The 25,453-nt window shown below is 40.4% G+C and overlaps 2 protein-coding genes across 5 annotated transcripts in view, besides 4 other annotated features; one reads left to right on the top strand and one right to left on the bottom strand.

Moving 5' to 3' along the window:
- The window catches only part of STRADB (STE20 related adaptor beta), a 29,107-nt gene extending 5,978 nt beyond the window's left edge, over positions 1-23,129 (bottom strand). For all 3 annotated transcript variants that reach the window (NM_001206864.2, NM_018571.6, XM_005246669.3), the window contains exons 1-6: positions 22,931-23,129; positions 20,017-20,123; positions 16,005-16,085; positions 4,817-4,916; positions 1,793-1,914; positions 114-222 (exon numbers count right to left, since the gene is read on the bottom strand). In NM_001206864.2, coding sequence (NP_001193793.1) covers positions 114-222; positions 1,793-1,914; positions 4,817-4,916; positions 16,005-16,085; positions 20,017-20,028 — 424 coding nt within the window. In that variant the 5' untranslated portion in view covers positions 20,029-20,123; positions 22,931-23,129. The remainder of the gene's footprint in view (positions 1-113; positions 223-1,792; positions 1,915-4,816; positions 4,917-16,004; positions 16,086-20,016; positions 20,124-22,930) is intronic.
- Positions 9,688-10,187: an enhancer, noted in NCBI's record as "H3K27ac hESC enhancer chr2:202329405-202329904 (GRCh37/hg19 assembly coordinates)". NCBI's record gives its function as "activates a minimal SCP1, AML or CMV promoter by ChIP-STARR-seq in primed H9 embryonic stem cells {active_cell/tissue: H9 hESC(primed)}" and the evidence as "EXISTENCE:reporter gene assay evidence [ECO:0000049][PMID:30033119]".
- Positions 22,559-23,238: a silencer, noted in NCBI's record as "silent region_12232". NCBI's record gives its function as "represses an Ori minimal core promoter by ATAC-STARR-seq in GM12878 lymphoblastoid cells {active_cell/tissue: GM12878}" and the evidence as "EXISTENCE:reporter gene assay evidence [ECO:0000049][PMID:35858748]".
- Positions 23,202-24,056: an enhancer, noted in NCBI's record as "H3K27ac hESC enhancer chr2:202315536-202316390 (GRCh37/hg19 assembly coordinates)". NCBI's record gives its function as "activates a minimal SCP1, AML or CMV promoter by ChIP-STARR-seq in primed H9 embryonic stem cells {active_cell/tissue: H9 hESC(primed)}" and the evidence as "EXISTENCE:reporter gene assay evidence [ECO:0000049][PMID:30033119]".
- Positions 23,269-23,798: an enhancer, noted in NCBI's record as "active region_16991". NCBI's record gives its function as "activates an Ori minimal core promoter by ATAC-STARR-seq in GM12878 lymphoblastoid cells {active_cell/tissue: GM12878}" and the evidence as "EXISTENCE:reporter gene assay evidence [ECO:0000049][PMID:35858748]".
- Positions 23,411-25,453, top strand: part of TRAK2 (trafficking kinesin protein 2) — a 74,252-nt gene continuing 72,209 nt past the window's right edge. Inside the window, exon 1 of one of the 2 annotated variants that reach the window (NM_015049.3) lies at positions 23,411-23,519. The gene's annotated coding sequence lies outside the window, so the exon portion shown is untranslated. Of the gene's footprint in view, positions 23,677-25,453 lie in introns of both variants that reach the window. The other variant, XM_047445578.1, reaches the window with a different exon arrangement.

Here is a 25,453-nt window from a genome sequence, read left to right as displayed (position 1 = left end):
CAGTCATTAGACTTATAAATTAAATGTGGCAAATCATAAATCTAAAATCCCAACTCATCTATATAATTATAACATCTAGGCTAAGTTAATTTATTTAAAACCAGCATTCTTACCATAGGCCATAAATGGAGAAATAACCCAAAGCCAGCTGCCAACAGTGAAAACTGTCCAATAAGTTGTAATATTGGGATGCCGGAAAAAGTGGGATAGAATCACGGCTTTCTAGGATAAACACACAAGAGACAAGACATTTAAAAACAACTGTTTTTTCCTTATGATGAAAATGGCGGTCGTGGCAGCTAATACTCAAGGGTGCTTATTAGTGAAAGCACTGTTCTTAGTGCTTTTATCTATTTAAATCTCACAACCACTCCACAAAGTATGTGATATTATGATTCCCATTTTTCAGAAGACAACACTTAAAAATAAGTTAGAAAACCTGTCCAAAAGCATGCAATTAATAAAAAGAAGTGGAAGTAGAATGTGAACTTAGTTTCCCTCTAGGGTCATACTCTTAACAACTGTTCTATGTTCTTATCATAAAAACATTTAAAAATACATAAAAATCCCTCTATTGCTACCTCACAGAGAGCCACTGTTAACATTTTGGTATAGTTTCTCCTAGTCTTTTTTTGTTTGTGTAATATACATGTGCACATATAAATATTTTAAGAATTGGGGCCGGGCACGGTGGCTCACGCCTGTAATCCCAGCACTTTGGGAGGCCGAGGCAGGCAGATCACGACATCAGGAGATCGAGACCATCCTGGCTAACACGGTGAAACCCCGTCTCTACTAAAAATACAAAAAGTTAGCTGGACGTGGTGGTGGGCGCCTGTAGTCCCAGCTACTCGGGAGGCTGGGGCAGGAGAATGGCGTGAACCCGGGAGGCGGAGCTTGCAGTGAGCCAAGATCGCGCCACTGCACTCCAGCCTGGGCGACTGAGCAAGACTCCGTCTCGAAAAAAAAAAAAAAAAAAAGAATTGGAACAATATCCAAATAAAATCCTTTCCCCCTTTATATAAAAAATGATTAGTGACGATAAAAATGGTATTATAAGATACCTGAAATGCAATTCTGTCAAAATTTGTTATTCAGAAATTAATTTTGCTTAACTGGATGAAAAGGAAACTGTTTTTGATTTCTTCCATTTCCCTATGTGACTATTTAGGATGGGACTGACTAGGAGTATTGTAAAACTCCAGACTAGCATTTTGAATATGATATTCATTTGAAGGAGCAGCAGTTACCAAAGTTTGAATATATTTGTTCTTTCATATAATGAACCTGGCTTCCAAGTATTCTTTCCAATTCTGTAACTGCATGTTAATTAGAAGAAATCTGTATTTCCCTAACAGAAGAACTATTAGTTTGGGGGAGAAAATTCTTACAGATGTAATCTCCTCAAATAAACATTATATTAAATACAATCACCCCTTAGTATCCATGGAGCATTGGTTCCAGGACTGCATCCCCTGACCGCCTCCTACACACCACCCCATAAATGTACTAAAATCTAAAAATGCTCAAGTCCCTTGTATAAAATGGCATAATATTCGCATATAAGCTATGCACATCCTCCCATATACTTTAAATCATTTCTAGGTTACTTATAATGCCTAATACAATGTAAATGCTATGTAAATAGTTATGCTGTGTTTTATTTGTACTATTTTTTATTGTATTATTTATTTTAAAATATATATTTTCTATTCACAATTGGTTGAATCTGCAGATGTGGAACCAGTGGATACAGAGGCCCAACTGTGTATCATTTTCTTCATATTGTTACCTGTAAAGCTTTCAGGCGTTCTTCATTGCAGTTTTCCAGATTTGTAATTTTTATAGTTACCAGTGTTCCTGTGGGAGTATGCCGTGCAAGATGGACAGAAGTCAAGTTGTCAAATCCTCTTCCTGTAATCAGACATAAAACTCATGTTAGTAACCAAAGAAGAAAAAAAACTGACAATTTAGACATCATCAAAATTGAAAAGTCTTACTCTTCAAAAAGTACTGTTAAGAAAATGAAAAGGCACACTACTGATTCAAAGTATTAATAATACTTATCAAGCAATCCAATTAAAAAACAGGCAGAGGATTAAACAGGCAATCCACAAAATAAGATATAGGAACAGCCAATATGCCTATGAAAAGATGCTCAAGATAGAGAAATGCAAATTAAAACAGTGACACACCATTACATATCTATTATGATGACTAAAATTGTGACTTGATAAACCAATTGCGATATACTCACACAATGGAATGCTACTCGGCAATCCCATCCCCACTCCCAGTCCCTGGCAACCACCAATCTGATTTTTGTCACATAAATGGTATCAAAAAGAACACAGTTGTCAACTTCTTTTGTGTTTAGCTTCTTTCACTTGGCATATGCTTCTGAGACTCATCCACGTTGCTGTATGTATCAGCAATTAATTTCTATTGCTGAGCAATAAACAATTGTATGGCTATACCACAATTTATTTATCCATTTATAATGCTGATGGTGGCTATTAGCTTGTTTTCAGTTTTTGGTGACTATAAAGCTGCCAAAAACATTCCTATACAGGTTTTTAAGTAGACATGTGTTTTCATTTATCTTTGGCAAATATCTGCGAGTGAGATTGCTGGGTCATGTGATAAACATATGCTTAACGTTATAAGAAGTTGCCAAATTGTTTTCAAAAGTGGCTGAATCATTTCATATTCCCACAAACAATGTATAAGAGCTGTCACTGCCTGACATACTCACCAGCATTTGATATCATCAGCTTTTTAAATGTAAAACACCTAGAGTGGCATCTGCTGGCAGCCACCTAATAAATATTAGTTACCTCCCTCTCTCCATGGTCACCAAATTTTGTCAGTTTTATTTTTGAAATGAAGTTAATCTCAAATTCGTCTCCTCCCCTCAGTGTCAGCATCACTGACTTAGTTTGAGCCCTGTCCTGTTGCCCTGGATGTATGCAGTGACTCCCTCATATGCCCTGAATTCTCAGCCAGGGCACACACCAGAATTACTGAGGGAACTACTGCAAAATGCCTCTGCCTTGGCCCTACTCCCAAGAAACCCTGGTTCAGTAGCTCTGTGATGGAATATAGGTGCTGTAATTTTAAAAAAGACACAGGTAATGAAGATGACACTTCTGGTTGTGCATTGCTGATCTACTACATCTTCCTGACTGTTGCCTGAGTTGTTTTAAATTTGGCATTTTATCAATAGCAGGTCCTGCAGCAGCTGAGAGCTTAGATCCTACAGTCAGAAAGATCTGGTTTCAAATCACTAACTGTATGACTCAGAGCCTCGGTATCCTCATCTGCGAAATGGGAGTGGCAAAGGGTTAAAGAAAAAAATACATAATGTTCAGCATAATGCCTGTTAGATGCTATTATTGTCATCATGATTCCACAATGTCTCTCTAGCGGAAGGACAATTCCAAATCTCCACCTTAAATCCTCTGAGTAATAAGGAGGGTAGGTTGTGGAGGCCATTCTAAATCCAACCACATGAAGTCCTTCACAACGTGTTCCAAACCTGCCTTTCCAGATTCATCTCCTACCACTGCCTACTCTCCCCTTGTTCCCACTTGCAGTCACAGAGGAACTATATGGTATTCTCCCCTAACCATCCTTCCTCAGTCATTTACTGAGGTAAACATGTTTTTACCTTTTTAGAATTGGCACCATTTGAAACTCCTTTCTAATTTTGGGGCATTTGCCACTTTGTGTTATTTCAAAAAGGTCAGATCCTTACTCTCCCTTAGTCTCCTTGACCCTGGCATGCGACCTATGCTTGGCCAACTGGAGTACGGAGTGAAGGACAAAGCAGCAGCAGTCGTCAGAGCTATCAGCAGGGGGCCAGCGTCTGGTGGCGGGCAGTACATTCACTAGGCTGCTCCTATTCCACAGTCCTGGTCCTTGTCATGCAGCTTCTCTTGGCTTCTTCCAAGCCTAGTTCTCTAGCCAATAATTCTGTGAGTTAGCAGCACTGTTCAAATATTCCTTTTTCACTTAAGTTAGCCAGGATTGTTTATGTTGTCTATAACAAAACCTATGACTAGAATATCTAGCAAACTCTTCCTCATTCAAGATCCAGCCCCTTTTTGCCATCTCTCTTAACTCCCAGAGGTGGTTCGTTGTATGCTCCATCTTCTCTGTTCCCATAACACTTAGGACATACCTCTACTAAAGTACCCTCCAGTGCATAAAACGAAGCTATATTGTGTCTTCATCTTCCCAGAGATGATGTCAATTCCAAGTGTTCTACCATGCTTTGTTTCCCTAGCACCTAACACAATCACCGGTGTGTAGTGTTTAATAGATGTTTCTAAATATTCAGAGCAAATGTTTCACATATGTAAAGCTATAAACAATAACCCATCCTATTCCACACTTAACTGAAAAAGCTTTCTACTACAAATGATATTTTAGATAAATTTTTAAACTGAGAAGCAATTTAAAGGATTGTGACTGAAAAGATTTAGATGACTTGATTTTACTTCATACCCAGTAGAAATTATACCCATAAAATAGATGCTTCCCACAATAAACACACAAATAATAAGTATTTAGTGTCTTCCTCATCTAAATGTACTTCAATGGAAAAGTAAACGTTCTAGACAGTAATCTTGAAAAAATCTGAGTCATTATTTTAAGATAGACATAAATTAATTGAATCCACTTGACTGACACAATTAGCATCTAGTTTTATGCTGGAGGTAACAACAGAAAAACACTTGCCCACAAAATAATCTTTTTGTCATCAATTTAATTTCTAGCACTGAAGGGTCAATTAGAAATTCAGGATTATTACCTATTTCTACTTGGAGCTCATAGTGAGAAACGTTGGTGGAACATAGTACTTCACTGGCTCTAGTGGATGGACGTGACCAGGAAAGGGTTGGCTCATCAACCTGCATTTGTTTTTAAAGATAAAAACAAAATAGATGAACTTCTTGGTCCCCCTGCCCTAATATAAAACACTGGTGTTATATTTTCAAACACAGAGGTGCTCATTAGGAAGGTACTGCAAGGTGGCTTAAGACACTGTTTTAAGATCTAAAATGAATTTACCAATTGCTCATTGATGTTAGGTAGAAAGCTGTTAGCCTATGGAGAGGGCAGGAAAAGCAGATTTACAGATAGCAAGGAATACTTCCCAGTGTAATTTCCAGTAAAATGTTTAGGAGTTGCGAAGAATGTTAATTCTTCAGGATAGCTGACAAATGTACCAAGCGAAGAGCTGCAGGGACCTGTGAGGGATATTCTATGCTTGTGCTCTTGCTTTAAGCTAGAGCCATATTTCACAAGGTACATGCTCTGCTACTGAAGATGTTAACAGTCAAGGAACAGTTTCCAGACTGCAGCCTATTAAAATTGCTGATGAAGTTTTTTGCAAGATGAATCAGATGGGAGGTCAGAAAGAAAAATCAAAGAAGACAGACCTCCTAAGTGAATGACCAAGTACTGATAGGAGGTCTCATGGTGTGCTTTGGAGTGAGAGTCAGGTTTGCACCTGAATACAGTGACAGTGAAATAACATGGATGTATGAAAAAGAAGCCTAAACTACTGGCTTCATATGATAACCATGAGGGTCTCCCAATGGACATAACTACTCCAAAGGACACTTAGGAGCCTCTACAGACAGATGGCAGGGGAAGGAAGAAAGGGGAAAAATAACATTACTATGTGCTAGGAATTGTGTTAACTCCTTTTCACATTCTTGGCTCTTTTTAATCAAGAGACAGAGATGGAGTTTGAAACAGTGACAGGATTAAATGTTCCCTAAACTTTAAGAGAGCAGGAAAAAAGGAATTATAAACCCATGGCTAAAGATAAATAAGGCTGACTATTGTTCAAGAGGAATGAAAGAATGTAAAAAGAAATTCTACTATACGATTGGAAATAATCCTGATGAGAAAACAAATCAAAATAAAGCAATTTAGTTTCTCTTTTTTTCTGCCTCTTTACAATCTGATGGAAGCAATTCAGTTTCTTTAAAACAGGTAGTCTTCAGATAAACTCAGATTTAATGACCACATAAAAGAGACAGAAAGAACATATAACAGCTTTAAAAATTTTTTAAGTGATATCAACCTGTAAGCCTGTCGGGAAGGCTAGAGATGTAATGAGCTAAGGCTTATAATTCACAGGCTTGGAAAAAAACGGCATAATGTTACTGGGTGATGGACTAAAATCACAACTAATCAGCCTCTATTTTGCTTCCATCTATTCCATTGGGGAATTAGTCTTATTTAAACTAGAAGGGACACATGTTGTAAATAAGTATTCAAAGCTCTAAACAGGTTGTTTTAAGTAGGTTCAAACCTCCAGGCCCAGGGCAATTACACTTAGGATACGAAGTTTGCAACTATGATAGAACTCAGATGAAAAACCAGAATAAAAGTAGCAAACAATGACCCAATTTTCAAAAAGGGAGAAAACTACAAAGGGGCAAGCTTGATGCTGTTGCCCAGCAAAGTCAGAGATCAAATTATTCAATAGGTGAATTATGGGCACTTTAAAAAGCCACATGGTAATCACAAGAAGACAACTCAGATTTACTAAGAGTAAATCATCCCAAACTAACCTCACTTCTCTTTTTCATTTGACCAGTTAGATGATAGAAAGCAAAAATTATGGCAAAGTCCTTGCCTTTGCTCTGTTAAACTTTTTAATGACTTCCTGAAACTGAAAAAGGCTGGCTTGAAAAAAGAAAAAGTATGGATCATGCATTGTTGGGCATAGCTAATTACCAAAAAAAAAAAAAAAAAAAAAAAGAAAAAAAAAAGGCAGGACTCACAATCATCCTGAACAGCTAGAAAACTGGGCCCAGATCAGTAAAATTTTACAAGGATAAATGCAAAACCTTACACTTAAGTTAAAAAAAAAAACAAAAAACCAATAGCCTAAATACAAAATTGAGGATACCAGGTTTATGACTCAGAGGTTTCAGTCAATACCATGACAGAGAAGGTTAAATAAAAGCACAATATTGAGCTACATTTACAGAAGCAAAATTGAGCAGACTGGAAGAGACAAGAGTTTCACTGTATTCTGAAATGATTAGTATCTGGAGCACCATGGATAATTGAGACACCACAATTTAAGAGGGAATTGTAAAATGGTGATTGTAAAATGGTGATGCCTAGAGAAGGCCAACCAAATTGGTGAAGGTTCCAGCAACAATGAAGGAGTTGGAAATATTTAATCTGGAAAAGAAAATATTAAGAATATATATAGTTGCCATTTGCAAGTGGCCAAAAGACTAATATAGAAGGGTAAACAATTGTTCAGCGAGAAGAGCTGAGATCAACAGATAGAAGCTCCAGGAAGTAGATTTCAGTTCCGCCTAAGAAATATGGAGTAACCGGTGCCATCCAAGTGTGGCTCAGGCATCAAGCTGCCTCTTTCCATTATCCTCTCTCCATTGATATATTTGGAGGTTGGACGACCACCATTGACAGTAGTTGAGCTACAGGGAGGTACAAGAACTGGAAGTGAAGAGGGAATGGTCAGCAATTGGAAGGCTAGGAAAAGAAAAGTTTTGATGCCCACAAATGTCTGCTTGCAGCGAAAGGAAGTACTGTGATATGAATTTCAAGTACTTTGACAGCTGTCATTACTTCTCCATTATACATTAAACTGCTTCTAATTATGATTTGGTTTCCCATGTAACTTTTCTATAAGAGTGGATTGATAATACAATGTAAGGGCACCATTTCCTCTGGCACTGGGAGACTGGGTTTGTAATGAGCTTGATTAATGTGGATCTGATACTGAAATATGGCTCCACTCTAGGTTTGCTGACTAAATCCAGTTTATGATCCTAAGAGGCTGAGGAACAGACCCTACATCATAGTTCAATAATCAAGCCAATGAATAGCACTCTGAAGTGTTTTCAGAGAGATCCTGCCAGACTTTTACTTGTGGTGAAACATACCTTTCTGTATGTTTCTATTTTTCTATGATGACTATTTTTCTATGATGGAGCTCTTTTTATTTAAATTTCTACAATGAACTCTCAGAGATATTGTAGAGAACACTCCCTACATTAGTTGAAAATTAGACCAGATGGCCTCTCATGAATCACTGTAATGCTAAAATTGCATTATTTTAAAAAGCATCTCAGCTCAAACATCACAGCCTTTCATTTGCAAAGGTTAACTATAGAAAATGAATTTTCCTACAGATAGAGGGGTTTCCGAAGTTATAGGAGACATAAATCACTTGGAAAACCAGACTGTCCTCCAAACATGATATTTTAACATAAAATTTAATTCTATCTATAAAGTCCAGGCCAATGGAGAACAAGTTGTCCAAAGAAAAGACAACAGATGGTGTTTTACAGCATGACTCAGAGAGCGCACAAGGAAGTTTTTCTAGTCATCAGGCACCAGTTTCCAGCTGGTGTCAACTTACATTATACAACTTTTCCAATTCATTTTTCCATGAGAGACTTCAGATTATGCTTCTGCTTCTCTCACTGAAGATTTTAGTCTAAGTCTACTAACAGAGAGAGATGTGACATTTCAATCCTTAAATTATAAAAAGGCTCCAACCTGAAGGTTTGAAGGATTCAGGTGGCAGCTGTGAACGTTTGCTTAGTTCTAGGCCTCTCTCTCAGTAACAGCATGGAGACAAGAATCACTTTCCTTTCTGCCTCACCCAAAGGGAATTACTTAAATTAAAACTCAGACTGGGAGGGAGGTGGATAAAGATGGCTGAATGGAACCCTCCAGCAATCTTCCCTCACCCTTCAGGAACACCAAATTGAACAACTATCCAAACAAGAAGGCACCTTTGTAAGAATAAAAAATAAGGTGAGCTATCACAGTACCTGTTTTTAACTTCCTATCACTGAAAGAGGCACTGAGCAGGGTAGGAAAGACAGTCTTGAATAGCTGATGCCTCCCCTCCCGCATCCCCCGGGGAGGGAGAGTGCAGTGATTGTGGGACTTTGCACTGGAACTCAGTGTTGCCTGTCACAGCAGAGAGCAACACAGTAAAGAATGCAGCCAGTGCCCAAGGAGGGAGCATTTAGATCAGCCTTAGCCAGAGGGGAATCACCCATCCCAGCAGCTGGAACCTGAATTCCAGCAAGCCTTGTCTGCCACCACAGGCTGAGGCCCTCTGGGGTCCTAAATAAACTTGAAAGGTAGTCTAGGCCATGAGGACTGCAATTCCAGGGCAATTCCTGGTGCTGTGCTGGGCTTGGAGCCAGTGGACTTGGGGGGCCCATGACCTAGTGAGACACTAGTCAGGGCAGCCAAGGGAGTGCTTCTGTCACTCCTATTCCAACCCCAGGCAGTGCAGCTTGTAGCTCCAGGAGATTCCTTCCTTTCCCTTGAGGAGGGGAGAGGAAAGGAAAGAATAAAGAGGACTTTGTCTTGCAACTTGGATACCAGCTCAGCCACAGTAGAATAGGGTACCAGGCAGAGTCCTGAGGCCCCCATTCCAAGCCCTAGCTCCTGGACAACATTTCTAGACACACCCTGGGCCAGAAGGGAAACTGCTCCCATGAAGGGAAGGACCTAGTTCTGGCAGGATCCATCACCTGCTGACCAAGACCTTGCGCCTTGAATAAACATCAACAGTATCCAGGCAGTACCTGCTGTGGGCCTTGGGTGAAACTCAGGGCCATGCTGGCTTCAGGTGTGAACCAGCACATTCCCAACTGTGGTGGCCACAGGTAGAGGCTCCTTCTGGTTGAGTAGAGGAGAGGGGACAGTAAAGGGGGCTTGGTCTTGCAGCTTGGGTACCAGCTCAGCCACAGTAGGCTAGAGCACCAAGCAGACTCCTGGGGTCCCTGATTCCAGGCCTTGGCTCCTGGATAGCACTTCTGGACTGGCCCTGGGCTAAAGGGTAGCCCACTGCCCTGAAGGGAGAAACCCAGGCCTGGCAATATTCACCACAAGCTGACAGAAGAGCCCTCGGGCCTCAAGTGAACACTGGCAATAGCCAGGCAGGACTCTGCAATGGGCCTGGGACAATGGTGGCCATGAGGAGAGACTCCTTCTGCCTGAGGAAAGGAGAGGGAAGAATGGGAAGGACTTTGTCCTGTGGTTTGGGTGCCAGCTCAGCTGCAGTAGAATAGAGCACAAAGTAGATTCCTAAGGTTCCTGACCCATGGCCCTGGCTCCCAGAAGGCATTTCTGGACCCACCCAGGGCCAGGTGGGGAGCTCACTGCCCTGAAGAGAAGGACACAGCCTGGCTGGATTCAACACCTGGTGACTGAAGAGCCCTTGGTATCCTTGAGTGAACATCCAGCTGGGCAGTGGTGGCTGCAGGCCTGGGGCAAGACCCAGTGCTGTGCTGAGCTTCAGGTCTGACCCAGTGCAGTCCTAGTGGTGGTGGCAACAGGGGTAATTGTGTCACCCCTCGCCCAGCTCCAGGCAGCTCAGCATGGAAAGAGAAACTGTTTGGGGGAAAAGTAAGGGAAGAAAACGAGATTCCCTGCCTAGTAATCCAGGTAATTCTCTCAGACCTTACCCAAGACCACCAAGATGGTACCTCTGTGAGTCTGCAAGAGTCACAGTTTTGCTGGGCTTGAAGTGGTCCCTAATGCAGATAGAGTTACAGTGACCAAAGACTTAGATCACAATACTCAATTCCCTGTGAATACTTGGAAAGCCTTCCCAAGAAGGATGGGTACAAATAAGTTCAGCCTTCAAAGACTATGATAAATACGTAACTCTTCAATGCCCAGACATTAATGAACATCCACAAGCATCAAGAACATCTAGGAAAACATGATTTCACCAAATGAGCAAAGTAAGGTACCAGTGACCAATCCCGAAGTGACAGAGATACGTGACCTTCCAGACAGAGAAGTTGAAATAGCTGTTTTGAGGAAGTTCAACAAATTTCAAGATAACACAGAGAAGGAATTCAGAATCCCATCAGATAAATTTAACAAAGAGATGGAAATAATTTTTTAAAAATCAAGCAAATTCTAATTCAACTGACATACTGAAGAATGCATTAGAGTCTCAATAGCAAAACTGATCAAGCAGAAGAAAGAATTAGTGAGACTGAAGACAGGCTATTTGAAAATACAGAGAAGACAAAAGAAAAAAGAATATGAAAGAATGAAGCACACCTATAAGATCTAGAAAACAGCCTCAAAAGGGCATATCTAAGATTTATCGGCATTGAAGAGGAGGTAGAGAAAGAAATCAGAATAGAAAGTTTATTCAAAGGGATAATAACACAGAACTTTCCAAGCCTAGAGAAAGATATCAATATCCAAGTATCCAAGAAGTTATCCAAGTATCCAAGATATCAATATCCAGTATCCAAGAAGGTTATGGAACACCCAGCAGATTTAACCCAAAAAAGACATTTAACAATCAAACTTCCAAAGGTCAAGGATAAAGAAAGGATACTAAAAGAAGTAAGAAAAAAGAAAGAACATATAAAGGGGCTCCAATACATCTTGCAGCAGACTTATCAGTGGAAACCTTACAGGCCAGGAGAGAGTAGCACAACATATTTAAAGTGCTGAAGGAAAACCTTTTTTTTTTTTTTTTTGAGACAGTCTCACTCTGTCACCCAGGCTGGAGTGCAATGGTGCAATCTTGGCTCACTGCAACCTCCACCTCCCAAGTTCAAGCAATTCTGCCTCAGCCTCCCAAGTAGGCGGGATTACAGGCGTGTGCCACCACGCCCAGCTAATTTTTTGTATTTTTAGTAGAGATGGGGTTTCACCATGTTAGCCAGGATGGTCTCAATCTCCTGACCTTGTGATCCACCCACCCTGGCCTCCCAAAGTGCTGGGATTACAGGTGTGAGCCACCAAACCCAGTGAAAAACTTTCATAGTTTATCCAGTGAAAATATCCTTCAAACATGGAAGAAGAACTTTCCCAGACAAACAAAAGCTGAGGGATTTCATCAATGCCAGACCTCTCCTACAAGAAATGCTAAAGGGAGTTTTTCAATCTCAAAGAAAAGGTTGTTAACGAGCAGTAAGAAATTATCTGAAGGTACAAAACTCACTGGTAATAAATACACAGATAAAAACAGACTATTATAACATTGTAATTGTGGTGTGTAAACTACTCATATCTTTAGTAGAAAGATTAAAAGATGAACAAATGATAACTGCAATACCTTTTCAAAATAGTACAAGAAGATATAAATAGAAACCATAAAAACTTAAAAAACAGGAGGAATGAAGTTAAAGTGTACAGTTTTTATTAGTTCTCTTCGCCTGTTTGTTTTTGCAATCAGTGTCAAGTTGTCACTTTAAAATAACATGTTATGTTATTTGCAAGCCTCATGGTAACCTCAAATCATAAAATCTACAACACATACACACACAACAAAATAAAAAACAAGAAACTAAAACATACTGCCAGAGAAAATAAACTTCACAAAAAAGAAGAAGACAGGAAGGAAGGAAGAGAATACAAAACAAATAACAAAAGCCAGCAGTTAAGTCCTTATCAATCATAACACTGAATGTCAATGGATTAAACTCTCCAATGAATAGACATAGAGTAGCTGAATCGATTAAAAAAAGATTCAATTATCTGTTGCCTACAAGAACCACACTTCACCTATAAAGACACTCATAGACTGAAAATAAATAGTGGAAGAAAAATATTCCATATAAATGGAAACCGAAAAAGAACAGGAATCGATATACACATATATCAGGCAAAATAAATTTCAAGGAAAAACTTATAAAAAGAGACATGGAAGGTCATTATATAATCCTAAGCAAAAAGAACAAAACTGGAGGAATCACATTACCTCACTTCAAATTATACTACAGAGCTATTATAACCAAAACAGCATGGTACTTGTATACAAACAGACACACAGACCAATGGAACAGAACAGAGAACTCAGAAATAAATCCATACTACAGTGAACTCATTTTTGACAAAGAAGCCAAGAACATACACTGGGGAAAGGATAGTCTCTTCAATAAGTGGTGCTGGGAAAACTGGATATTCGTATGCAGAAGAATGAAAGTAGACCCCTATCTCTTGCTATATTAAAAAATAAAATTGAAATGGATTAAAGACTTAAATCTAAGACCTCAAACTATGAAATCACTACAAGAAAAGATGGAGGAAGCTGTCCAGGAAATTGGTCTGGGCAAAGATTAATTGAGTTATACCCCAAAAGTAGAGGCAATCAAGCAAAAATGGACAAATGAGATCACAGCAAGTTAAAAAGCTTCTGCACAGCAAAAGAAAAAACAAAGTGAAGAGACAACCCACAGAATGGGAGAAAATATTTGCAAATTACCCATCTGATAAGGGATTAATAACCAGAATATATAAGGAGCTCAAACAATCCAATTTAAAAAATCTAACAATCTGATTTAAAAATGGGCAAAAGATCTAGAAATAAACATTTCTCAAAAGAAGACATACAGTTCTGGGCACATTGGCTCAGACTGTAAGCCCAATACTCTGGGAGGCTGAGGTGGGAGGATCACTTGAGGCTAGGAGTTCAAGATCGGCCTGGTCAACATAGTGAGACCTCTTTTAATTAGCTGGGTGTGGTAATACACACCTGTAGTCATAGCTTATCAATAACCTGAGGTGAAAGGATTGCTTGAACCCAGGAGTTAAAGGCTGCTGTGAGCTATGATTACACCACTGCAGTGCAGCTGGGTGGCAAAGCAAGATGCCATCTCTAAAAAAAATAGAAATAAAAATAATTTTTTTTAAAAGATGACATACAAATGGCAAACAGGTACATGAAAAAGTGCCCAACATCACTGATCATCAGAGAAATGCAAATCAAAACTACAAGGGAATATCATCTCACCCTAGTTAAAATGGCTTTTATCCAAAAGACAGGCAATAACAAATGCTGGTGAGGATATGGAGAAAAGAGAATCCTCATATGCTGTTGGTGATGATGCAAATTAGTACAACCACTATAGAGAACAGTATGGAGGTTCCTCAAAAAACTAAAAAAAAAAAAAAAAACTACCATATGATCCAGCGATCCCACTGATAGGTATATATCCAAAAGAAAAGAAATCAGTATATTGAAGAGATATATACACATCCATGTTTATTGCAGCACTACTGACAATAGCCAAGACTTGGAAGAAACTTAAGTGTCTATCAACAGATGAATGGATAAAGAAAATGTGGTACATATGTACAATGGAATACTATTTAGCCACAAAAAAGAATGAGATACTACCATTTGCAACAACATGGATGGAAGTGAAGGACACTATGTTAAGTGAAATATGGCAGGCCCAGAAAGACAAACTTCACATGTCACTCACCTGTGGGAGCTAAAAATTAAAACAATTGAACTCATGGAGATAGAGAATAGAGGCCAAGAAGGGGTGCAGGGCAGAGTGGAGATGGTTAATGAGTACAAAAATATAGTTAGATAGAATGAGTAAGATCTAGTATTTGATAACATGACAGAGTGACTACAGTCAACAATAACTTATTATACATTTTAAAATAACTGAAAGTATAATTGGAATGTTTATAACACAAAGAAATGATTTATGCTTAAAGTGATAGATAAACCATTTACCCATTTAGTAATTATTACATATCATATGTCTGTATCAAAATATCTCAGGTACCCCATAAATATATACATCTTCTATGTACTCCAAATTTTTTTTTAAAAAACCCCTCAGATACTACTTCCTATTTTATGAAGAGACAGGTAACCAGAAGACTAGGGTATTAATGAATAAAAAGCCAAATAACAGAAATAAAGACAGCTGAAGATAGGACTGGGGGTTAAATTATAAGCAAAATTAACTGGGATTCACTAATTTTGTAGTGAATAAGGCATTTGCAAGGTAGGTTCCATTCTGTAGTAAAAAATGCAGTATAAAGTACGGAATAAGGAGAGGAAAAGATCCCAAAGAAATATCCTTAGATATATCTAAGATACACGGGAGCAGAACCAAATAAAAAGTGTAAGTGGAAAGGCTTCACAGATACAATATTTGAACCAATTCTTTATGGATGAGGAAGAATTTCAGAGGCAGAAAAGAAAGAAGAGTATCTCAAGTAGAGAATGAAACTAAGACATATTCTACACCAGTAAGAGCCCTCATATTATGCTAATTTAGACTTTATCCCATAGGCTTTAGGAAGCCAATGGAAGTTTCAAAGCTGGAAAGCGATACAAGCAGGCCTGTATTGGTAGCATTACTGAACACTGAACAGATGTGAGTGGTGGGAGAAGACTATGTGTGTGTCTAGGAGCCTAGAGGCAAGGAGTCCACCTGCAAGAGCCCAGGTGAGAGACAATGAGACCTGAGCAGTAGCAGTGCTCATGTGAAGTAGGGGATAGACCCCAGGGCATTTCAGAGACAGATAATAAATATGGGGACAGAGGTAGAGGCCGTGTGAGGATAACTCTAAAGTTTTTAGTTAGGATGACATAGTAGATGAGTTTTCATTAGACAAAGTAGGAAATACCATGAGTTGGTGGGTTTGAAAGAAGATTAAGGTTTTATTCAAACTGAGTAGAGATGCCTTAGAAAAATCCAATTGGAGGTATTCTAGAGACACGTCTGTTGCCCAGGAAAGAGTCTGGGGTTGCAGGTAAAAATCTGAGAAGCATCAGTTCTGCTTGATGCCAGGGTCCCCTCAGGAAACCTGTGGTAACTCCAGGACAATCTGAAATCTGAGCAACTGAAGTCATAGGAACAGGTGAAACTGCTTAGGAAGAGCCACTTTAGGAAGAGCCACTTTAGGAAGAAGAGAAATGGCCAGTTATAGACTCCTGGAAAATGGCAGGAGGAAGAAATAGTAAAGGACACTGTAAAGAAAAAGAAATAGAAGAGAAGTAGGAGTGAATAGTATTACAGAAGGCAAAGTTAGAGCATTCATTGTACTCAACCATTTTTTTTAAAGATGAGATCTCACTATGTTGCCCAGGCTGGTCTCGAACTCCTAGGCTCAAGTGATTCTCCTGCCTTGGCCTCCCAGAGTGTTGGGATTACAGGTGTGAACCACTGCATCCAGCCTAACCATTTTCTTACCAAGTATTGATGGATACTGGTTTCAGACTGTTTTTCAGGTCTGAGTGATTCAACTTGTGTTCTTGAAGTGCAGAAGCAATCCTGGAAGTCAGAAATGCATTATATAAGTGAAAAATAAGTTACAGGATAAGCAGGGGTGGTATGTAGATACAAAAAGGTCTAATGACTACAGTGGGGAAAAGAGAGGAAGGGCAACTTGCAGAAACTTGGAATTGAAGCCAGGATCCACATCATGAGGAACTCAGCATGGGAGAGAAGGGAGAAGTGGCTGGGCATGCAGACAAACTTCATATATGTGAGAATTTTATTTGGTGCTATCACTGATCCTTGCCCTCTTTTCTTGATGTCATAATAATTCATTTTAACTGTTGGTGTTAATTTTTAACTCTGTCTGTCAACATCACTGAGGTTTTCTTCTGAATATTTAGCCAAAGATTATTCTGCTGAATTCATTATAATTATTTTTATTTTGATCCTCAGCTATCTTAAGTATAGAAACCATGTTTATTCACATTAAGCCACATATTGAGTGAAAAAATAATTGTTTTTAAAGGTGATAAACATCTCTAATTATAACTCAAAGCAAATTAAAAGAGACTTACTTTTATTATCGCAATTTACATTTTTCTGCATATTAACCCATGGTTCTATTATTATTTATTGCCAATAAAGAAATGTAACACCTACATGTGATTTATCACATCATCAATCAGTGGGGTGAAGCTGACATACTATTTAGGAAGAAAAAGTATGTCAAAAGAAAAGTATAAACACATTGTATGAGAGGCTTTTATAACAAGATAACTTCAATATTTGAAAAAATTTCTTTCTTTTTTTTTTTGAGACGGAGTCTCAGTCTGTCACCCAGGCTAGAGTGCAGTGGTGCAATCTTGGCTTGATGCAACCTCTGCCTCCTGGGTTCAAGCAATTCTCCTGCCTCAACTTCCTGAGTAGCTGGGATTACAGGCACCTGCCACCACGCCCCGCTAATTTTTGTATTTTTAGTAGAGATGGGATTTCACCATGTTGGCCAGGCTGGTTTCAGACTCCTGACCTCAATCAAGTGTTCCGCCCACCTCAGCCTTCCAAAGTGCTGGGATTATAGGCGTGAGCCACCACAGCCATTTCAGAATTTTTCATTTCAAGCATCTTATTTTTATATTAACATTAAAGTACAATATCAAATGAGTCTCTTAAGATATGTCTACCTATGTCTACTTAACACTTTGTAGTCAATTACTTAAATATAAATTTCCTTTTAAGATATGCCAGAATTTCTCACTAATCAAACTAGTCATTGTCCCAGTTAGCCTTCATTACTGATTATTTTAACTTGAATTCCTACAGTCTGTATACTTTATAAATCTATTACAAAAATTTGGTATATATTCCCACTGTTTTATGTAAAACTCACCCTGAAGAATAGACGCTAACAATGTCAAGATAGCTGTACAACTGATTCCTCTGCAGAGTTTCTAATGGCTTCCTAGGGTGAATAACATTTATAATAAAACAGTTTTTGAAGATACTTATTACTGTTGTTCATATTGAAAATATCCACCAGCTGGGCAGGACATTTATATATTGTTTGGTATTTATATATTTTTACAACATTTAGCTTGAATTTTTCACAACGACCATTAATACCACTGTGCAAAAGAAGAATTAACAGCAGGCCTAAAACTGCTATTCTTAGAAAATAGCTGCTTATAAGGTTGACCCTTGGCTAGTATCTGGGAACTGGGATTTTGCAGAGGTTCCCTTCATAAGAATCGCTCACTGTGTCTAAACTGTTTGTGCAAATAATACAGTTTATGCTGAACACCTGGCTTTTTTTCTGGGAGACTGGAATTTTGTTACTTGCTAGCAGAGCACGCCTACGTGACAAGTCCCCAATAAAAACCTTAAGTCCAAGTCTCTAATGAGCTTCCCTAGTAGACAACATTTCACATGTCACAACTCTGGGGGAACTGTGCATATACTATGGAACTCCACTGAGAAAAGATTCTTGAAAGCTTGTGCCTGGTTTCCTCTGAACTTCACCCCACATACCTTTTCCCTTTGAATATTTTTGAATATAATTTCTTTATCCATTATCATAATAGCCAAGTAAAAAGTAGTTAGACCTTACAAAGAAACTGAAAGAAGATATTTTTACATATGCTGCTCCTTTGAAAACAGCATTTCTTAGTTCTCAAATAGAGGGTAAAACTTGAATGGGGAGGAATCCTTAAGTAAAAGTATCAACTTTATCCCAACTGCACAAATTTCTCGTTTAAGGAAAAAAAGTAAATATTTCGATTCAAAGAATTTAAAATATTTCACCATTGCAGAAAAATGTGATTTAAAGTTACAATCATTAACGATATAAATCACCCATTATCACATTCTATTATTTTTCACAAAACCCATAATTATGGAATAATAGGCTAAGATATTCTTTTTCCAAAATTTGAAAGCCCTGGGCAACACACAGCCCTTTGAATCTCACAATTCTCGCCTATCAAATGAAGGGAATAGACTGAATGCCCTTTCACATCTTTTCCAACTTAAAAATTGATATAAAATTGTAAATCTTAAGTAATCCTTTAGAGTAAGGGTCGGCAAACTATGGTCCATGAGCCAAATCTGACCCACCACCTGTTTTTGTGAGTAAAGTTTTACTGGAACACAGATACATTCATTCATTCATTTATATATTGCCTATGGCTGCTTTCATGCTAGTATTTCAGCAGAAAAGTAGCTGTAACAAAGACCAAAGGGTCTGTAAATACTATCTGGCCTTTACAGAAAAGCTTGCTGATCCCTCCTTTACAGAATAAAACATTTCACCTCCGTGTATTTTCCAGATATATAAAGCTTCTCTTTCAAGTGGTAATGCTTTACTTTAAACATGTAAGTAACTGTGTTATGTATTTTCCATATTACTAACAATCCAGTCTTCTAACTTCATAGTTCTGCCTCTCAGCCTTGGTAATTGATAGAATAGATTGGCAGGTATGAGTCTGGCTCCAACTTTTTGCAATCTTGGACAAACTGAAAATGAGGATAATGCCACCTGCCCTGCTAAACTTACACAATTTGAAACTATGAAAGAAATATATGAAAGTATTTGTAAACTATAAATCATCATACAAATATACTCATCCTTTTTTTTTTTTGAGACAGGATCTCCCTCTATCACCCAGGCTGGAATGCAATGGCATGATCACAGTTCACTGCAGCCTTGATCCCTTGTTCAAGGGATCCTCCCACCTTAACCCTCTGAGTAGCTGAGACTACAGGCATATGACACTACGTCTGGCTAATATTTTATACAGACAGGATCTCACTATGTTGCCTAGGCTGGTGTTGAACTCCTGGGTTCAACTGATTCTCTAGCCTTGGCCCCTAAAAATGCTGGGATTACAGGTGTGAGCCACTACACGTGGTCTACTCATTACTTTTTTAAAAACCACATTTTAATATAAGTATTCCCTATTCAAATATTATTATTATGTATAAAACAGGATGAAAGTCCTCAAGCTACTTAATCTAAAGTAGATACCACGGATCTAAATATAAATAGAAAACCAGTTGGCAGCTATACCTCATATATACATTGATCCAAATGATTTTATTTCGGTTAAGTCAAAGGGGTTATTTTTAATACTGTTTGGCTTGCTTTTGGTCAGATGGAAATTTGTAAAAGGAATTTCTGAAAGATTTAAAAGATAAGGCATAGCTAACTGGTGTGGGTGGCATATCAAAGTATAACACCTATGAGAAAAAGTAGATATGGGACAAAAGATTAGAATAATGAACATATTGAAGTATACGAGAAGTTCTTTATGAAAGAAAGAAAAACTCAATGAGAATGTAATTCATTTCTCAAGTCCAGAAGTCAATCAGGTCAAAACAATATCTCAGAGCATAAGAATATCCCATCAGAATATGCCTTTTATTATGGCTTGGCATTAACATCCAACTACTCTGACAGAACAAAATCAGATCTATATTTACAAAAACTTACCAAAAGAGACATTGAATCACTTTAGTTCACACAGAAAGTGACAAAAATCCATCTATTCCAAAGAAGGCTTTTGTTTTATCTTCCTTTCAAGATGCAGATATATCCTACTATAAAAAACAAAAGCAAAATAATTTAGATTCACATAAAAGTTCCTTAAAGAACCAGTTGCCTTAAACCCATCCAATATTTAGGCAGCTATTCCCTGATACCCAATATTTAGGCAGCTACTCCTTGACACAAGGAGACATTCCTGAAAAGTATCTTTAAAGAGCATTTATTTTTTACTGAACATTATTTGTGATCTGACATCACAACCAAGAAGCAGAGTGAAAACAAAAAGAAGTCCTGAATATTTCCAAAGCCTCAATATGTTTGCATTTCTCCTTCCCTATCTTTTCTATACTGTTTTTTGTTTGTTTTTTAAAGAACGCTGAGCAAATTTGAAAGCAATGTAGAAAACCAATTTTTGGCCCACTTTTGATATAAACAGTGTCACTTACAATAAACCCCAAGAATTTTCAATGGTTCCACATATTACAACTAAACTTTGAGACTTTCCAAAGCCCTTTCTTATTGGATTAATTACGTATTAAATCATTTGGGGTCCCTGACCAGCAAATATGGGAAAGAATCAGAATAACAGACTAGGAAATTAATTCAAGGAGATACAAAAGCACCATCCACGGTTTCCAGACCTTTACTAATAGAAAGGGTGGCAATCTTGTAAGTTTGTGGGTTCAGAGCATCCCTTTACATCTAACCAACATCATCTCTTTCATCTAAATTGTGCTTCATTATTTCAACTCCCCAAATTTGATGAACCCATCTACAAATATGTGAGCAGGATGAGAAAGGGAAGATTTTGTAAACCATAAAAACCATAAAGCAATATCCAATTTTATTGCTAAAGAAAGAGGTGAATTTATTCAGGATGTTCACTATGAACCAAAGGTAGAGATTGGGAGGAAGACGGACCTGAAAGGCTGTGATCATTTAGCCACCTACCATTCATTACCGTCAATTTAAAGCACTGGAGTTTGCTGTGCTGCAAAAGGAGGAAAGCAATGCCTGCCCTGCCAACCTTCCAGGGTGAATGAAATCAAATGAGTTACATCTCAAAGTGCCCCTAATTAGCAAACACTGTATCAGCTTGAACTATGCTTTGAAAGGTACACTCAAATGTACTGATGGCAGTACAAAACTATAAGGTTTATTTGGAAAGCAGGTTGTCAAATGTTTCAATAACCATGAAAATATTCATACTTTTTGACCCAGTAAAATTCCCCGGAGTGATCTATTCTAAGGAGATATCCAAGTAAATGAAGAAACTACACATCATAGTCAATACACTGTTAATCTGTTAACAGCCAAGTAATCATTACACAAGTGTTTAATGAGTGGTTACCATGGGTCAGGCACTGTGGACACCCGCTGGTAATCAGGGCAGACAAGACCCTGGCCACTTGTAGCTGACCTTCCCACAAGCAGAAGGGTTATGGATGTCATGATTAACCAAATTTTCTGGTTATCATGATTTTGTATCCTGCTTTTTTCACTCAATGTCAGCAAGTTGTTACTGATTTTGTCTTAATAATGTGAAACTCCATTACGTTGTCTATTTTTTTCTCTTTTTCAGAAAAGCTCAGAAGAAACAGACACAATCTGGTAAGAATTGTTAGTAATAAAAGGGTTGTCCCTATGGGGTGGTTTAATCTCAGAGATTTTTGCCTTAGATACACCAGACTATTAAGAGATAATTTTACAAGACATTTTGAGGTCAAGGCAGCAGCTGCACCCAGCAAAGGGGTGGGGGTGGGGGATTTGCTGTTATTATAATTTTCTCCGGCATGCTCTTTCACGAGATATGAATATAAACCCTTTCTTAAAAAAAAGTCATATTTAAGAGACTTATATTTCGTATTCACAAGTACATCAGTGCAGTCCCTTACACTTGTATCCAAAACGCTAATTACGATAAAGCTTTATAAGTAATTTCAGTTTGTTCCATAATAGAATGGTTCATGTGAAGACTTTGATCTGAAAGATTAACACTTTCTGTAGAAACCAAAGGGCGCATCTTCTAGAACACGGGTTTTGAGTTAATTTAGGCATTCAACAGAGGCCACTGTTACAGGGAATGCAAAAATGACCCGATGTAACTCTTTGTTGAGCTTTAAAATTACTGTAATTTTCAAAGTGATCTTGGGAACCCATAAAATCTTAACAAAGATCATAGCGACGCACAGTTCAGGAGAATTTTCCAAGCTTAGTGACTCATGCGTTCAACAAATCTTTACTGAGCGCCTACTGGGTGCCAGGCACCGTGCTAAGCAGGCGCCGTGTTACACATCCGTATCAAGTTTTGGGGAAAAGGTACTTGACAAAGACCCAGCAGGGAAAAACACAGCGTTGAATTGAAAAACCGAAGACAAAACGACACTCGAGTATTTAATTTTGTAAAAGGTTCCTTCCTAGTCCTGCTATGGGGGACTTTGCAGCGAACTTGCAGAAGGCGGCAGATAGAGCTGGGGTCTGAGGGTGTCTTCGATATGGCAACTCCCCAAGCCCGAGAGCGCGGCCAAAGGTGAGGGGTGCGGGGAGAGGGCGCCCGGGCGGCCTGGGCCCCGCGCACCTGGCACGGCCGGCACGGCCAACCCGGCAGGCACCACTGGGCGGGCTGCGAACCCGCGGCCCGGGCCCCGCTGAGCCCGAGCTGCACTGGCGCAGTGGCTGCTCGCCACCTCGGGCCGCATTCTTGCCACGGCTCCCGCCAGCCGCCGGTGCTCGGGCTGGAGGTGGGCTAGCGCGTTCTGGCCTCTGGCTTCCCGGGCGTGCGCGGACCAAGGCTCACTCCCTCACACGTCCCCCACCGGCCCCGACACCTTCCCTTCCCGGGCCTGCCTCCCGTCTTTACCCTAGCGGCGACCACGGCCAGCGACTCTCTTCAGGCTGCCAGCGGTGCGGACAGGGGCGGGCGCCAGAGCCCTGCTCGCGGAGGGGCGAGGCGAGCGCTCTAGGCCCGCTCCCGGCGCGGGGCGCGGGAGGGCGGCGAGGCCGCGACCGGGGCCGTGGGCTTGGAACTCTGCACCAGTCCCAGGCTACCCGCTGGGAACGCATTCGCCCCACCCGCGCCGGGGTCGCGGCCCCGCCTCCCTCCCCGGGGCTGGGCAGCGAGAAGGCGGGGCCTTCGAGCTTGAGGCGGGGCGGGCAGGAAACTACAATTCCCAGCAGGTCTTGCGCTGGGGCCGTGGAGGCCGCTGGGAGAGTGGCTCTCCTTTGGCTTCCCCAATTGTGTGGGGGCTGCCATTGACCCGGTGTCGCCGCAGAACCGAGGTCGCCGAGTGATGATGTTGTGAAGTCGCCCGCCTGTCCCTGCCACGCCCGGGCGGTTGCTGGCAGTGGGAGCAGCGGCAGCAGCTTCGGCTGCTGCTTTCAGGCTGCCGCTGCATTAGGGGCTTCCTGAGGAAGCGCGGGCGGACGACAGAGGATGCCGAACCACTCCAGTGAGTAAGCTGTCCGCGCAGAACCCGAACTTGCCCTTGACAACTTCCCCGGAAAGCGGAGGGACCTCCTCGTCCCAAGGTCCTCCGGTACCCGGAGGTCACGCGCGGACGTCGGAGCCGGAGGCTGGGTGCTGGAGGGCTGGGTCCGGGTCCCGCGGTGAGGCGTGGGTTGTTTCCTAAGTGTGGGTGCAAAGTAATGGGCGCTAGGCGCTGGCGTCGGTATTCAGCCCAGCTGCACATCTGAGGCTTGGCAGCTTCTCATAGCGCCTTATCCTCTGCCATACAGCATCCATCTGGAGCCCTGTCTTTTAGGATGAGTGGCTTTAGGGTCGGGCATTAAACCTTAAGCTTCAGTCGCCATCTGTGATGTAAGTGGGAGGAGAGGGTATTGGAAAGAGCTCTTTCTGGGTCAAATAGAGTTGGGCTTTTCTTGCAATTGATTTTGAGCCAGATGCCACATATCTTGAAAAAGAAAAACGGCTGACTTTAGTTTGAAGCGTAAATAATAGATATTCGCACATGTCCTTTTTAGTAGCAGCCCAAAAATTGAATTTCAACTTAAAAAAAAATCTGCGTCATAATAATAGGGATGTTACTTGCTCTTGCTCATGCACCTTTTGCTTAGACCTGCTGTTTCTACGTCAGAAAAAAAAAAAAAAAAGGTAACTTCACAGGATATTCATCAAGTTGATGGAATGGACCATAGGAACAAAAGGAACACTTTCAGTTCTTGGTCTCCGTAAATCTTCCCGACCTTTAGATCTTTGCTGTTGACTTGGAAGTCTGAGGTACAGTAGTCTCCAAATAGCAGGTTAATGGTGGTGACATGACACTTAAAAACAAATTGTGAAGGACATTTGGAGGTGAGAAAGGTCAGGGATGAAGACATTTTATCATCCTAGCAGTTATTCCAACTTTCTTTTCTTTTTTTTTTTTAAGACAGAGTCTCGCTCTGTCGCCAGGCTGGAGTGCAGTGGGGTGATCTCGGCTCACTGCAACCTCCGCCTCCCGGATTCAAGCGATTCTCCTGCCTCAGCCTGCAGAGTAGCTGGGACTACAGGCGCGCACCACCACGCCCAGCTAATTTTTGTGTTTTTAGTAGAGATGGGGTTTCACCATGTTGGCCAGGATGGTCTCGATCTCTTGACCTCATGATCCACCCGCTTTGGCCTCCCAAAGTGCTGGGATTACAGACGTGAGCCGCCACACCCAGCTCCAGTTTTCTATTTTTAAAATTAAGTAATGTCCAGCAAGTCTCAGACATTTAGCAAGCACATACCATGTGAAAGACAGTGTTTTGTTATCTTACACACTTATTCATATGATGGAAGAGGTTTGTTAGAAAGAACCAACATTTGGCCGGGCGCTGTGGCTCACTCCTGTAATCCCAGCACTTTGGGAGGCCAAGGAGGACAGATCTCCTGAGGTGGAGAGTTCAAGAACAGCCTGACCAACATGGAGAAACCCGTCTCTACTGAAAGGAAATACACCAGCCTGGCCAATATGGTGAAACCCCGTCTCTACTAAAAATACAGAAATTAGCCGGGCGTGGTGGCACGCGCCTGTAGTCCCAGCTACTCGGAGGCTAAGGCAGAAGAATTGCTTGAACCCGGAGGCAGAGGTTGCAGTGAGCCAAGATTGCACCCCTGCACTCCAGCCTGGGCAACAGCGAGACTCCATCTCAAAAAAAAAAAAAAATTAGCCAGGCATGGTGGCACATGCCTGCAGTCCCAGCTACTGAGGAGGCTGAGGCAGGAGAATCGCTTGAACCCAGGAGGCGGAGGTTGCGGTGAGCCAAGATCGAGCCATTGCACTCCAGTCTGGGCAACAAGAGTGAAACTCAGTCTCAAAAAAAAAAAAAAAAAAAAAGAACCAACATTTTAGTATTTGCAATCTGCCAGGCACCCCAGGTGGGAGCTCTTCATACTTTAGCT

The sequence above is a fragment of the Homo sapiens genome, chromosome 2, assembly GCF_000001405.40.
Source record: "Homo sapiens chromosome 2, GRCh38.p14 Primary Assembly".
Lineage (NCBI taxonomy): Eukaryota > Metazoa > Chordata > Mammalia > Primates > Hominidae > Homo > Homo sapiens.
The sequence above is the reverse complement of the archived record's forward strand: the minus strand, read 5'-3'. Positions and strand labels throughout refer to the sequence as shown.